We start from the raw sequence: 15695 nt of genomic DNA on the forward strand, positions 1-15695 counted from the left end.
GGGCGGAGAGAAGTACTGGCTCCGCCTCTTCCGAACCGGCAGGAAGTGACGTCATGCCCCCGGCCGGCAGGTCTTTTAGTCTTTTTCCCCCTCCCTTACTCTTCGTCCCCGGTCCCTCCCCTCCCCACCCCTTTCCTTCTAGCTCCGACGTTTGCGGCCGCGGGGGCGGCGGAGGATATGGAGTAAAGCCAGAGTCAGTGGCCAGGCACGAAGGCAGAGCAGGAACAGCCAGGAGGCGTTTATTAGGGGGGCGGGGGGAAAGAGCCCCAGCACCGCCCCTCCTGGAAGAAGGAAGAGGTAAGTGACCGGCCGCCGGCACCGACCGACCTCCCTCACCGGCGGCTCTCTCGCCTGGGCTCCCGGAGCCGGCGAGGAGGGAATGGAGGACTCGCGCCCGGGTTAGGCCTCCCAGGGCCGCTCAGGCTGGTGGGTGTTGCCTGGTGACGGGCCTGCCGGCGGCCGGCCGGGCGATCGGCGGTCGGCGCCCGCGCAAAGCGGGGCTGGACGAGCAGCGAGCTCCGGGGAGCGGATCCGAGAGGGCCGAGTCCTCGAAAGAGGCCTTGAGGCGACGGGAGACCCGGGATCGAAGTCAGCTGCCGGAGGGAGAGCCCCCCATGCCGGCTCGAGAGCTCGGGTTTCGGTGGTGGAGAACGTAGTACCTTTCGGGGACATTGGACACTACTCTAGGACCGGGTGAGAGAGTTCACCTCAGTTCTGAGGTCCGGAATCCGGTAGCCTGGGTCACCAGCCAGGGCCCTGCCGCCCGCCGTCCTTCTCTGACAGTAGCTTTAGTTCTGGAATGGAAGGTTATTGTGTGTGAGGTGGGTGGGGCAGGGGTTTTGTTAAGAGAAAAAACCCCACGGTTACTCCTGCAGTCTTGTTTTTCTAAACGGGAGAATACGGATGGAGGAGGGTTTAGACCGATAAAGCTTGCAAAAACTTATTGGACTTTGAGCACATACCTGTGATCCGTAATTAAGGAGGCCATATTATCAAATCCACCCTCTAAGGCACTCGAGGAGGCTCCAGACAAGCTGCTTAAAAGCGCTATGCCTGTAGTGACTTCATTGGAAGGTGTCAACTATTTTTTAGTACGTCAAACTCAGGAATTATTTGTGATGACACTTTCTAAAAACATTGGATACTATGAGTGAGTTTTCTAAGTAGCCTATCTCCGTTCTGAAAAATAAATAGTTTAGCAAAAATGCTCCAAATCAGCCTGCCACTGTAAAACCCCATTATGTTCTGGTGATGGCTTGAAAGTCAGGTGCTTGAAGATTCCTTTTGGACTTTGCAGGTTTGTTGTTGTTTGGTTTGCTGTCTTATTCTTTAGCACAAATATTTTTAAAATATTTAAAAATGAAATCAGCTGAGTATATAAATTACTTCTTGAGGCAACATTAAACTGTAATCATAAAGAATGCTTTTGGGGGATTGTGTAAAGGAAGGGAACCTAATGGAAGGTAAGGGCCTTCATTCTCTTTAGATTTACATTACTCACATGCAGAAACCTATTTTGTCTCTAAGATTCATAAATACCCAGTAAAATAAATACAGGCACATTGTACTTCTATACTGTGGAATACTTTCTAGACAGATCAACCCTGTTACTGGGAATAACTACTCATATTCACATGTTTGAAATTCATGATATACCTCCCTTCCCCCACCCCAAGAAGAAAAATAGCTCCTCTTACTGTGTTTAACTCCGTGGGTAGCATCACTATCCATTCCTTTGTATAGAAGTTGAAGTTTGACAATTCCTCTGTCGTGCTTCATACTCAGCCTCTCATGAAGTCCTGTTGATTTTGCCTCTTGAATATCTCTTGACTCTTGTCTGCTCTTCGTCTGTAACAGTAGTCCTGTTCCAAGCCACCACCATCTCTCATCCTGACTACTTCCGTAGCCTCCTGATTATGGTCTGCTTGCATCTACTGTGGTCTCCTGTAGTTTTCCAAACAAGACTTAGTGACTTTTTCAAAATGCAGACCTAATAACATTGTCTTAGTGTTTAAAATCTTTCAGTGGCTTCTCACCATTTTTAAGTAAATCGAACACATTAACATGCCCTACAAGCCCTGCATAGTCGGTCCCCTTTCCAAACTCATCTCCACTGTGCTTTCTGACATTCCCTTTCTCCCCTAGTCACCCTGTCTTTTCTGTTCTCCTGCTTCAAGTATGTGGCTTTGGTTATGCTACTTCCTCTGCTTGGAAATGCCCTTCCTTTCTTTTTTTAGCCAATTATGCCTATTCATCATTCAGCTCACTTCAGGGAAGACTTTCCTGATTAGAATACATTCTCCTGATTATATGTTCTTACCACACCATTGAAGAGTTGTCATGTTTATTAATACTTAATAAATTAATTAGATGTTCCTCATCTCCTGATGTGTAAGTGCTGAATGTTTATTAAATGAATGAATTCATTTAATGCTTACTGAATGGGCCAAGAATTGTACTAAACATTTTATCTTATCATCACTGTTAATCCTTATAACAATCACTTGAGGTATAGCTAGCTTTTCCCCTTTTTGTAGATTAGAAATAGTGTTAGGGTGGGTAGTTAGTTGGTGATGGCTCTAGTAAATATTAGAATTGGCATTTGAACTCAGATTTCCTTACCACTGAAGAGTGTGTACTTAACCATGTAACTTAATTTTAACACTTTGCTGTTCATCAGAATCACTTACGGAGCTTTCTCAGGATACAGATATACTTCACCTTTATAGGTTCCGATTCCAAAGGTTTGAGATACTACCTAGGCATCTATGTGGTTTAAGAAGTTATCCAGGTTATTTAGATGTTCACCAGAATTTGAAAACCACTGTCTTAGACAGTACTTGTGTTTTATGAGTTTGTTTTCATACATTGTATTTGAGATTTTATACTTTTTTTTTTTTTTTGTGAGACGGAGTGTCACTCTGTCACCCAGGCTGGAGTGCCGTGGCGCGATCTCGGCTCACTGCAAGCTCCGCCTCCCAGGTTCACGCCATTCTCCTGCCTCAGCCTCCCGAGTAGCTGGGACTACAGGCGCCCACCACCAGGCCTGGCTAATTTTTTGTATTTTTAGTAGAGACGGCGTTTCACCGTGTTAGGCAGGAGGGTCTCGATCTCCTGACCCTCGTGATCCACCCGCCTCGGCTTCCCAAAGTGCTGGGATTAAAGGCGTGAGCCACCGCGCCTGGCCGAGATTTTATACTTTCTTAAATTAAGGAAGAACTGTAGACTTTAAGGAAGTGATCATTTAATCTAATTTCCTACTCAGTTATTCCTTGTCCCTCTTCTCTAGCTGGAAGGCCTGAATAGTGAGAAACTGTCACCCCTCTGCTACTGCTTTAAAAAAAAATTACAATAATTTCAAGAATCTGATTAACTTCTTGTTGTAAAAACTATAGTTCACTAAATACATGGGCTGGAAGTAGCTTCAAAAAACTTGGATGTAATCTTTCCTCAGATCTTACTTATTGTTTAAATTACTAATTTGATATTTAAGCGTATGTTGCCTGAAATTTCATGTTGCTTTCTTTTTTTTTTTTTTTTTAATATTTTTATTTACATAGAGACAGGGTCTCACTATGTTGCCCAGGCTGGTCTCGAACTCCTGAGCTCAAGTGATCCTCCTGCCTTGGCCTCCCAAAGTGCTAGGATTACAGGCATGAGCCACTGGCCTCATGTTGCTTTTTAAATCTTAAATCTTATTGTACAGTGGTCTTAAAATTTGTGACCAGTGACAGAAACTGAATGTTTTACTTCTTGTTTCTCCCCCTGCATTTAGCATGGTGCTTTTCATCTAGTAGGTACCCAATAATTTGTGTACTAACTTGGCTGTACATTGCTAAGTCTTTTCAGTTTTTTATGTTCGTTTTTAAAATCAGGCTTGTCTTCTGTAATCTGTTCTGGCTTAACTATGTCTGATAATTAGATACTCTTTGTAATTGTAAAGAGAATGATTATACTCAGCTGGTTTAATCTTTGTTCTGTATAAGATTAAACATGATTTCTGTATAGAACAAAGAAGAGCATTATCCAGTTTTTGAAAACTTTCTTTTAAAAAACTTCTAGTAATCTCTGAGTGCTCCCACAAGCAGAAATGTATATTTCAAGAATACATCTTAAGGCCAACTCTGGCCTTAAAGTTAGCCCTGCTCCTTGCAGAGCAGCAAAAAAAAAAAAAAAAAAAAAAGAGAGAGAGAATATATCTTAAGATCATCTTTCTTTAGATACAAACAGGTAAGTACTGCATATGGGAGTATAAGCACACGTATTTTCCCCCAGATTTTGTGAAGTATTTAACCGTATTTCATGTCTTCTGAATGTAATTCTTGAATGTAATTCTTAATTAGAATTACAAAAATTCATTGAATAACTATAAATGATGATATAAATGGTATTCTCTTATTTTCAGGCATTTACATACAAATCTCAGACCTTTGTGCCCCTTTAAGGGATAAAGCAAACTATTTTGAGTTTCTTTGTTTTATATTGTTGTTCTTTGTAGTCAGTGTCTATTATTTTGTGCTTTTTGAAAGTCTAGTCTCTGCTAGGTGCCATGAGACTGAAAGTTATTAAATGTAACTTCATTGCCAGATGTAATTACGGTAAGCCTTTTATTTGCATTGCAGTGACTTCAACAAAAATGGAAGCTCATTCTGCTTTATAATATTTTATTCTTGGGATTGTAAGCTTGGGAAGCTGGGGAAAAAAGTAAAAATATATTCTTGGGGAAGTATAGGACTGTTTGTAGTCATGTTATTTGAAAATTCAGGAAGTCTTTGTTAAGCATAAATATAATTTTACCTGTTACATTTCTTGCTGTATCTAGAATTCATGAGCAGGCAGGACTGAAAGAATTGCCAGTTCCTTTCAGCTACCTGCTGTCAGATGCTGTAATACTCATCCTACTTTCTGCCAGGTGCACGTAAAATCTAGTATTACAACAGATTCACATGCTGGTTCTATTGAAAGCCAGGTGATGGCTGAGCTAGATGGTAGAGAGATACACAGTCTTGGAATCATACTGAAGCTACCCCAAATCCTATTTTGGCTGAAATTTAGGAAGGGCAGATGATTGAATTTCAAGTGAATTATAATAAATGGTGTACAATGAGAAATGCCTTACATGACTAAGAATTTCCATCATTTATAACTTTGTCATTGGAAAATATAGGCTTTTTTCTTCATTAATCAAAGGAAAAATGAAAAGCTATCATTTTAAGAAAAGGTATTTGGACTCTTAGGTTTCTTATATGTCAAATGGCTATGCTAATAATTCAAAATCTCGTTTAAGTTCAGGTCTTATTTTACAGGCTCCTTGGAGATTACTCTGTCCTTGGCCTTCTGTAATTTTCATGGTATTCTTGGGTGATATTTTTCAAGGCCATAGTCTACCATACTGGCTCATCGTGCACCAATTTTTACTTTCAGTCTGGACGGTTTTTTCTAAGTTTTTGGCCTGCATGTCTAAAAACCTATTAGATATCTCCATCTGAGTGTCATTCAGGCAGCTCAAATTCTACATGTCCAAGTTGAGTTCTTCCCCTATAAAACAACTGGCTTCTATATGTCGTTGGTAAATGGCTTCACCTTCCACCTAGACTGTGAAATTGGGGGTGGGGTAGGATTCTTAGTTTCGTTCTTTTCTTCTCTTGGTTTTAACTTGTTTCTTAATTTTTCCTTTCTTCTCCTTTCTCACTGCTATTTTTGTAATTCAGCAACGCTTCTCCCTTTAAAAATTTGTTTAAAATGTGAAATATAACACATAAAAGTATATAACGTAGTTTAACATGTAAATACAAAATAAATATCTGTATAACTAGCACCTTTGAAATACCTCCTTTACCCACCATCTCTTCTCTATCTTCCTTGACCATATTTCCTTTATTTTCTTGCTTTTATATATTCTGAATTATAAATATCCCTGAATTGCATATTGAAGTTCTCTTCAGTCTTGCCATATTCTCAGCCTCCACCTTTAGTATATCTTTCACTCTGCTTGATAGAGTGATTGATCATCTTACTGATGCCTGAAACCCTTCTGTGGCTTCCATAGCTTGATTTCTTACTACTCAATGTCCTTGGTGATCTGGCTTTTTAGCCTCCTTTGCCATACTTTCTTCTTTTTCTTCAGCTTTTAACTGAACTTGGTTTTTGCTTTGTGATTTTACTCCTACAATTCTCCTATTCTCTATCCAGTTTACTCCTCTAGCATTACTGTTTTTGGGAAACATTCTATTCCTCTTCTTTTTGTTCCTATAACACTGTGCATGTATATTCTGTAGCGTTTTATCACTCTGTAGGCTAGTGCTGTGGTGGTTTTACTTGTCTGTCTTCTCCCTTTGATGTAAGATTTTTCATAGCTTATTTTTCATTTACTTCCTTCCCAGTTTCTCATATGGTATCAGATACATAGTGGATACTCAGTAAATATTAAACCACCAAATGAATTTCCATGCCTGTTCTTTGCCATACGTACATCAGTGTTGACTCTGGATGATGGATAGCATCTCAAATTTGAATATCAATTCTGAAAATATGCTTTGTTTTCATATGTAACTGTAGTTTGCAGACCACACCATAGTCTTCCTCCCTTACATATCTTGGCACGTGGTATTATAATCCCTTCTGGAATACTCCTTCCCCCCTTACTTTATAGTTTTGAGCCCATCTTAATATTTCCATAGCATGTACATTCTTACCACAAGTTAATTGCTGTAACTCTTTGGAGGACTGAGTCTGCTATTGGACGGAGTCCCTAAAAAGAAGAACCTCTGTATTCTCAGTGTATAACAAGATGCACGGCATTTAATATATAGCTTGTCAGGCAGCGTTAGAGGAATAGATATGTATGGTTTTAAATAGAATTTTGTATCCTTTCACCTTCCCGTCAAAATCAACAGCAGATGTTCATAGAGAACAACTTGGCATAGCCAGTAAATGTTTTCATAATGCCAGTAGCAACATTTTCTAGCTGCTTACAAAAATGCAGCATTAAATTAAAAAGGGAAAGTCAGTCTCCATTTCCATTTACAGACAGTTCAAATCTTTAATAGAAGAAAGTGGGTTATATTTACATAAGTATAATTTCGTTAATAGAGAAAACAGGATACAAACTACCTGAGATCAGTGGTCTTCAAATATTTTTGCTTGTGTATCCAATAATTTTGAATAACATGTGCTCCTCTTGCACATTTTTTAAGTTGATCACAGCTGGAGTTTTTTTGTCAAGAGTTTAAATAGTTGCAAAAGATCTAATTTCTAAATTGTCGTATATTGTGATAGTGCTTTACTTTATCAAAACCTTGGAGTTTATCAATTGAAATAAATGTGTTCCTATATATCTCTGTGACAACCATCTTCTTAACTGTAGTTCTGTGGTAGATAAGGCGTGGGTTCTTGTTGTTATTAACATCTGTCCTGAAAGAAGCAAGGTACAGCCTCCTTTAGTATTTCTTATCAAACTTCCTTGTGCTTTACTCTTAAGTGGCTTTCTCATAGAATTAAATCTACAGATTGCATCCCCCTCCTCCCACAAAATTTTTTTACACCTAGGAAAATGGCCTACAGTAACACTGGGATGGCTGAGAGAAATACTTTGTTTTAGTCAAGTGGGAAAAAATTGTGAACAAAGAAGTGGTTAAGGAAAATCTTCAGGACATAGACTTGTTCTCAGGCAAATCAATTTTAGGAAAGAGTACACCTGGAAGTTGACAATTTGGAGAGCGATAGGGCTTTAAAACCTTGGTTTGTGCCATAGACCCTTTTGACAATTTAGTAAAGCCTGTGGATCCCTTCTCACAGTAATATTCTAGAATCAGTTTGTCACTTTCTACAGAAAGCCTGCTGGGATTCTGGTTGAATTGCATTGAGTTTCTAGATTATTGGGGATAACTGACACATTAACCATATTGAATCTTCCAATTCATGATCACAGTATATATCGTTCCATTTATTTAGGTTTTCTTCAGTTTCTGTTAGCAGTATTTTGTTTTCATTGTATAGATCTTGCATAGCTTGTTAAATTTATTCATAGGTATTTCATACCCTTGAAACAGTATTTTTAAATTTTAAATTTTCTAGTAGAAATACATAGAAATGCAATTTCTTTTTTTTTTCTTTTTTTTGAGACAGGGTCTCACCCTGTCACCCAGGCTGGAGTGCATTAGTGTGATCACAGCTCACTGCGTCCTCAACCTCCCAGGTTCAAGTGATCCTTCCACCTCAGCCTACTGAGTAGCTGGGACTGCAGACATGTGCTACTGCTCCTGGCTAATTTTTAAAAACTTTTTGGAGTCTTGATATGTTACCCAGGCTGATCTCAAACTCCTGTACTCAAGCAATCCTTCCACTTCAGCCTCCCAAGGTGCTGGGATTACAGGCATGAATTACTATGCCCAGCCTAGAAATACAATCTTTTCAAATATGTTGTTCTTGTATTCTACTATATTGCCAAACTCATGTATTCATTCTGATAGCTATTTTGTAGATTGATTCCTTCTGATGTTCTGTGTATGCAGTTGTGTCATTTGGGAATAAATTGTATTCTTTCTTTGCAGTCCGAATGCCTTTTATTTCATTTTCTTGCTTTATTGCCTTGGTTAGGACCTTTACTGGAATATTGAATAGAAGTGGTAAAAGTGGGTATACTTACCTTGTTCTGAAACTTAGGGAGAAAAGTGGTTAGTATTTTATCTTTAAATATAATGTTAGCTGTAATTATTCAAAGATGCTATTTATCAGGTTGAGGAAGTTCCTTCCTGTTCTTAGTTTCCTAAGAGTTTTTATTATGAATTGGTATTGAATTTTGTCAGTTTTTTTTCTGCCTCTACTGAGATTATCTTGCTTTTTTTCATTATTCAGTTAATGTGAATTACATGGATTCATTTTTAAAAGTTGAATTAACATTGCATTCCTGAAGTGAACCCCATTTGGTCGTGGGGTTGGATGTGATGTTCTAATATCTTAAGGATTTTTACATATTAACGAGGGACATTGGTTTGCAATTTTATTGCCATTGCATTATTTGGTTTGATGTCAAGGTAATGCTGACTACATAACATGAAATGGAAAGTATCCTCCCCTCTTCTATTTTCTGGGAGAGTTTGTGTAGACTTGGTATGATTTTTTTCCTTAAATGTTTGATGATATACCCTATTCATTTAGAAGCTTTAGAATTAGAATCTGTAGAATTTCTGTTATTGGTCATTTGTGTCTTTTAAAATTTTTATTTTCTTTCTTTTTATTTTTATTTTTGAAATAGGATCCCACTCTTTGTCACGCAGGCCAGAGGAGAGTGGCACAATCATGGCTCACTGCAGCCTTGATCTCCCAGGCTTAAGCAATACTTCCACCTCAGCCTCCCAAGTAGCTGGGACCATAAGCACACACCACTATGCCCTGCACATTTTATTTTATTTGTTTTTGTAGAAACAGGGTCTCCTTATGTTGCTCGGGCTGGTCTTGAACTCCTGGGCTCAAGTGATCCTCCTGCTTTAGTGTCCCAGAGTGTTGGGATTACAAGCATGAGTCATTGCACCTTGCTAAAATTTTCTTGATCAATATAGCTAGAGTTTTACTGATTTCATTGATCTTTTCAAAACTTTTTTTTTACTTCATTGGATTTTTTTCCTCTTTTTCATTTCTCTATTAAATAAAGTATTACATTAAATTCAGTCTCTTTCATTGATTCCTCCTCTTCTACTTATTTTAATTTTCTCTTTTTCTAGCTTCCTAAGGTGGAAGCTTAGACCATTATTTTGGACTTTTAAACTCCCTAATATAAACATTTACAGCTATAGATTTCTTTGTAAGTACTGCTTTAGATATGACCCACAAATTTTCATTTTCATTTTCATTCTCTTCAAAATATTTTAAAAATTTCTTTGTGATTTCTTTTTTAGCCCTTGGATTATTTAAAAGCGTTGATTAATTTCCATATATTTGCAGTTTTTCTATATATTTTAATCTATTATTGATTTCTAGTTTAATTTTATTGTAGTCAAAGAGAATCGTTTGTATTATTTCAGTAGTTATAAATATTTTGAGACTTATTTCATAGCCCAACATATAGTTCATTTTAGTGAATGTTACGTGTCTACATGAAAACCATTTTTAGTGAATGTTACATGTCTGCATGAAAACAATTTGTCATTTGTAGAGTGTGTGTTTTAGGTCAGGTTGTTTGATAGTGCTGTTGAAGTCTCTGTCCTTACTGATTTTTCTCTCTGCTTCGTCTGTGTCTGTTACTAAGTGAGAACTCTTGAAGTCTCCAACTATAATTATGAATTTGTCTATTTCTTCTGTCAGTTCTGCCACTTTTTGCTGCATTTATTTCGAAGTTCTCTTATTGGGTGTGTACAGATTTAGTATTGTTATGTCTTTTTGGTGAATTGACAACTTTGTCATTACAAAATGACTTCTTTGTCTTCAAGCTTATTCTGTTATTAATATTGCCACTCCAGCTTGGTATACTTTCACATTCTTTTACCTGTGTTTTTATACTTTTAAAGTGGGTTTTTGTAAGCAGCATATAGTTAGGTCTTGCTTTTTTATCCAATTTGATAATCTCTGCCTTGTAATTGAAATTTTAAATTATTTACACTTAATGTAATTTATTGATATGGTTGGATTTAAGTCAACCATCTTGCTATTTATTTTGTATTTGCCACATTTGTTTTTTGTTCCTTCCTCTTTTCCGCTTCTTTTTATATTCAGTTTACTTTAGGGTTTTTTTTACTAACTAAATTTTATCTCTACAATTTAGTTATATCACTTTATTATTTTGTTGTTATTTTTATTTTGTTATTATTTGAGGGTCTACAGTATATATCTTTTAACTTTAAATACCACAACCTGCCTTCAAATGATACTGTACTGCCTCAAATATAATGTAAGGATCTTTAAAAAATATACTTATATTTCCCCTCCTGTTCTTTCTTGTTACAGTTTCTTCTGCATATATTATAAACACAATACATTTTTATTATTTTTGCTTTAAATGATCAGCTATCTTTTAAAGGTATTATGACGTGAAAAGTATTTTATATACCCACATCATTTTTTATTTTTATTATTCTGGTTTAAAAACTTTAAGTTTTTTTTGTTTTGTTTTGTTTTGTTTTAGAGAGAGGGTCTTGTTCTGTCACCCGGGCTGGAGTGCAGTGGTGCAATCACAACTCACTGCAGCCTCCACCTCCTGGTCTCAATTGATTCTTCTGCCTCAGCCTCCTGAGTAGATGAGACTACAGTCAGATGACACCATACCTGGATAATTTTTCTATTTTTTGTAGAGATGGGGTCTTACTGTGTTGCCTAGGCTCATCTCGAACTGCTGGGCTCAAGTGATCCTCCCATCTCTAATAGTTTTTATAGTGATTATCTGTTGTTTTTCTGAAGATGTCTTTATTTCACATTGAGTTTTGAAAGTTTTTTCCCCAACCTGTAGAATTCTAGGCTGACAGTTTCGTTTAGCAGTTTAAAGACCTCATTCAGTTGTTCTTTGGCATGTGTTGTTTCTGCCAAATTTGGGGAAATTCTTTTTTTTTTTTTTTTTTGAGATGGAGTCTTGCTCCCTCGCCAAGCTGGAGTGCAGTGGCGTGATCTCGGCTTACTGCAACCTTCACCTCCCGGGTTCAAGCAATTCTTCTGCCTCAGCCTCCTGAGTAGCTGGGACTACAGGCGCGTACCACCATGCCCAGTTAATTTTTGTATTTTTAGTAGAGATGGGGTTTCTCCATGTTTGCCAGGATGGTCTCCATCTTTTGACCTTGTGATCTGCCTACCTCAGCCTCCCAAAGTGCTGGGATTACAGGCGTGAGCCACCGCGCCTGGCCAGTCTGAGGAAATTCTTATCTTTGTTCTTATATGTAATTTACTTGTTTTCTGTGGCTGCTTTTAAGATTTTTCTTTTAATCACTGATTTTCAGCTATTTGGTATATCTATGTATGGGTTTCTTTGTGTTTATCCTGTGTGTGGTTTATTTAATTTCTTGGAGCTTTGTATAGCAGCAGTCCCCAACCTTTTTGGCACCAGGGACCGGATTCGTGGAAGACAGTTTTTCCACAGATGGGGGATGGGAGGCTTGGTTTCAGGGTGAAACTCTTCTACCTCAGATCATCAGGCATTAGTTAGATTCTCATAAGGAGCACACAACCTAGGTCCCTTGCATGTGCAGTTCACAGTAGGGTTCAGGCTCCTTTGAGAATCTATTGCTGCCACCTATCTGAGAGGAGGCGGAGCTTAGGCAGTAATGCTTGCTCGCCTACCGCTCACCTCCTGCTCTGCAGCCCGGTTCCTAATAGGCCGTGGACTGGTACTGATCTGGCGGCCTAGGGGTTGGGGTCTACTGTTGTATAAGTCACATCGTCTTGCTTCTTGGCATGTCTGATAGTTGTTGATTGCCTGCTGAATATTGTGAATGTTACATTGTTTAGTATCTGAATTTTTTTGTGCATGTTATGTGTCTTTCATGACTATTGGGTTTTGTTCTGGTAGGCTGTTTAGTAATTTATGATTACTTTGGTCATTTGATAATTGATTTTAGAGTGGATTTAGATTAGCTTTTACTCTAAGGGTGGCTTACCCCACTATTAAGGCATGGTTCTTACAGGTTTCTGCTGATTGTCTTAGTGGTCAGTGAAGACTCACTACTCTGGCTGATGAGATATCAAATGATTTGCAGCCTTGTGTGAACTTTGAAACTATTCAACTGATAGCTCTCTAGTTTGGTTCTTGCCAGACCTGGTGGAGTGTCACACTATGCATAAGCATGTGTGGGACCAGGGAACAGAGCATGAAGGGGACCAGTTTGCATTTTCTTCAGCATAGCTTCATTCACTTTGAAATTGTATCTCAGAACTTTCATCTACCTCCGCATTCTTGAATGCCAGTTTGTCCCTCCAGCTTCTCAATTCAGCTAGATAGCTACTTGGAATTCTGCTCTATGCTCTGTAGTTTGGAATGTGCCTCTGGGGCAATCCTGGTTCTCTTGTTCTCTTTCTTACTGGGGTCAAAGGCTCTTGCTGCCTGTTCAATGTCTGAAAAAATGTGTTTAATACATTTTGTTCAGTTTTCTAGTTGTTAAAAGCAAGAGGGCAGATTCACTCTTTGTTCCTCCCTCATGGGCAGAAGTTATTTATTCATTTATTTACTTAGAGTAATATTTTTAAATGTATGAAATAAAATGTATAGAAAAAATTGTTTTGAAATAATTGTAATAACATTTTCATAACTACAAAATGGTTTTATATATGTTTAATGCATTCAATAATAAAACCTAGTATGGGGGCCTAATAATACCTCTAATTCTCTTTGAAGTCTTTACCTGACTCCAGATTAGGAACTGCTACCTTAAAACTGTCTATGCCCATGTATTCCCTGAAAAGTCTTCATGTAACCCTAGAGATGCAGACATTCTAGTTTGAAGAAAGCTTCCTTTAACTTTCTTCAACTAAAGATGTCAACAGACATCATCACAATTAGAGTCTATTTTAATTTACCAAAGGAGAAAAGTTAAGCCTGGCAATTACTAATTATTAATACAGGTTGAATATCCCTAATCCAAAAATCTGAAATGCTCCAGAATCTGAAACTTTTGAGCAGTGATATGGTGCTTAAAGGAAATGCTCTTTGGAGCATTTCAGATTTTGGATTTTTGAATTAGGATTGCTCAGGCAGTAAGTATATAATGTAAGCATCCAACATCTGAAAAAATAAAAAAATCCAAAACACTTCTGGTCCCAAGCATTTAGGATAAATATTCAACCTGTAACAACTACTGATCATTATGCTTATTAAAAATTACCAATTAAATGATAAGTATTCATTAATGACACTAGTCATTAATAACAAACCTATGTAAAATTCTAAAAATAATCTTCTGACTGTATGCTTATGTGTATTTTATTGTCCCTTTACCATCAGTGTTTTTTTTTTTTTTTTTTTTTTTTTTTTTGAGATAGAGCCTGGCTGTCACCCAGGCGGGAGTGCAGTGGTGCTTTCTCAGCTCACTGCAGCCTCCCTCTCCCGGGCTCAAACGATCCTTCCACCTCAGCCTCCCAAGTAGCTGGGACTACAGGCACATGCTGCCATTCCTGGCTAATTTTCGAATTTTTTGTAGGGACAGGGTTTCTCCATGTTTCCCAGGCTGGTCTTGAACTCGTGAGCTCAAGTGATCCACCTCCATCAGCCTCCTAAAGTGCTGGGATTACAAGCCTGAATGCTTCTTTATTAGGAAATATTCTTAAATGATTTCATAGTTGAATGTAATTATTGTTTTAATAACAAAACTTTTTATAAAATACCAATTTGGGCTAGGTGTGGTGGCTTATTTATGCCTGTAATCACAGCACTTTGGGAGACCAAGATGGGAGGATCACTTGAGGCTAGGAGTTTGAGACCAGCCTGGGCAGCATAGCAGTACCCTGTCTCTACAGAAAAATAATAATAAAGAAAATAGGCTGGGCGCTTTGGCTCACGCCTGTAATCCCAGCACTTTGGGAGTCTGAGGCGGGCAGATCACAAGGTCAGGAGATCGAGACCATCCTGGCTAACACGGTGAAACCCTGTCACTACTAGAAAATAGAAAAAATTAGCCGGGCGTGGTAGCGGGCGCCTGTAGTCCCAGCTACTCGGGAGGCTGAGGCAGGAGAATGGCGTGAACCCGGGAGGCGGAGCTTGCAGTGAGCCAAGTTCATGCCACTGCACTCCAGCCTGGGTGACAGAGCTAGACTCCGTCTCAAAAAAAAAAAAAAAAAGAAAGTACAAATTTATTGCTTAGTAAAGTGTAAAGTGTTAGCATCTTTTAAGTTGTATATTGTTGTTTTTAATGTGAAGTGATCAACACCTGTGAAAAGGGGTGGAAAAAGAAAAAATAAGAATAAATGTTTAATGTGAAGTGAGAGTCAGACCTCCTATATTTGTTGTTGTTGTTGTTGTTTTTGAGACAGAGTCTGGTGCTGTCACCCAGCCTGGAGTGCAGTAGTGTGATCTCGACTCTTGACTCACTGCAGCTTCTGTCTCCCGGGTTCAAGCAATTCTTGTACCTTAGTCTCCCTAGTAGCTGGGATTGTGGGCACGCGCCACCATGCCTGGCTAATTTTTGTAATTTTTGTAGAGATGGTTTTTCGCCACATTGGCCAGACTGATTTTGAACTCCTGGTCTCAAGTGATCCTCCTGCCTCAGCCTCCCAAACCCCACAAACCCCACAAAACCCACTTTTAGTCTTTTTTTTTTTTTTTTTTTTTTTTGAGATGCAGTCTCACTCTGTCACCAAGGCTGGAGTGCTGTGGCGCAATCCTGGCTCACTGCAACCTCCACCTCCTGGGTTCAAGTGATTCTTGGGCCTCAGCCTCCCAAGTAGCTGGGACTACGGGCACCTGCCACCACGCCTGGCTAATTTTTGTATTTTTGGTAGAGATGGCATTTCACCATGTTGGCCAGCTGGTCTCAAACTTCTGACCTCAGGTGATCCGCTTGCCTTGGCCTCCCGAAGTGCTGATATTACAGGCGTGAGCCACCATGCCCATCCCCCACTTTAAGTCTTAAAGGATCCATGTTATACAGTTGAGCAATATTCATTCTCTTTCTTAATGTCATTGTCAAGTGTGAGTATATCTTTTCCTGGTCAGTGAGAACTGAGGTTGAAACGAGCAGTTTGATTTCTGGACTTAAATTTGTACTAAAGTGTATTGGGTTCTC

The 15695-nt window shown here is 38.7% G+C and overlaps 2 protein-coding genes across 6 annotated transcripts in view, besides 4 other annotated features; one reads left to right on the forward strand and one right to left on the reverse strand.

Moving 5' to 3' along the window:
• DEPDC4 (DEP domain containing 4) overlaps positions 1 to 14873 on the reverse strand; it is a 50338-nt gene extending 35465 nt beyond the window's left edge. The window contains exon 1 of the mRNA XM_017018783.2: positions 708 to 14873. The gene's annotated coding sequence lies outside the window, so the exon portion shown is untranslated. The remainder of the gene's footprint in view (positions 1 to 707) is intronic.
• SCYL2 (SCY1 like pseudokinase 2) overlaps positions 78 to 15695 on the forward strand; it is a 74539-nt gene continuing 58921 nt past the window's right edge. For 3 of the 5 annotated variants that reach the window (NM_001330256.2, NM_001330254.2, NM_001317784.2), the window contains exon 1: positions 78 to 297. The gene's annotated coding sequence lies outside the window, so the exon portion shown is untranslated. Of the gene's footprint in view, positions 694 to 15695 lie in introns of all 5 variants that reach the window. The other 2 variants (NM_001330253.2, NM_017988.6) reach the window with 1 other exon arrangement.
• Positions 273 to 322: a silencer, noted in NCBI's record as "silent region_4765". NCBI's record gives its function as "represses an Ori minimal core promoter by ATAC-STARR-seq in GM12878 lymphoblastoid cells {active_cell/tissue: GM12878}" and the evidence as "EXISTENCE:reporter gene assay evidence [ECO:0000049][PMID:35858748]".
• Positions 423 to 502: a silencer, noted in NCBI's record as "silent region_4766". NCBI's record gives its function as "represses an Ori minimal core promoter by ATAC-STARR-seq in GM12878 lymphoblastoid cells {active_cell/tissue: GM12878}" and the evidence as "EXISTENCE:reporter gene assay evidence [ECO:0000049][PMID:35858748]".
• Positions 573 to 642: an enhancer, noted in NCBI's record as "active region_6857". NCBI's record gives its function as "activates an Ori minimal core promoter by ATAC-STARR-seq in GM12878 lymphoblastoid cells {active_cell/tissue: GM12878}" and the evidence as "EXISTENCE:reporter gene assay evidence [ECO:0000049][PMID:35858748]".
• Positions 653 to 712: an enhancer, noted in NCBI's record as "active region_6858". NCBI's record gives its function as "activates an Ori minimal core promoter by ATAC-STARR-seq in GM12878 lymphoblastoid cells {active_cell/tissue: GM12878}" and the evidence as "EXISTENCE:reporter gene assay evidence [ECO:0000049][PMID:35858748]".

This window comes from Homo sapiens, chromosome 12 (genome assembly GCF_000001405.40).
Source record: "Homo sapiens chromosome 12, GRCh38.p14 Primary Assembly".
Taxonomy (NCBI): Eukaryota; Metazoa; Chordata; class Mammalia; order Primates; family Hominidae; genus Homo; species Homo sapiens.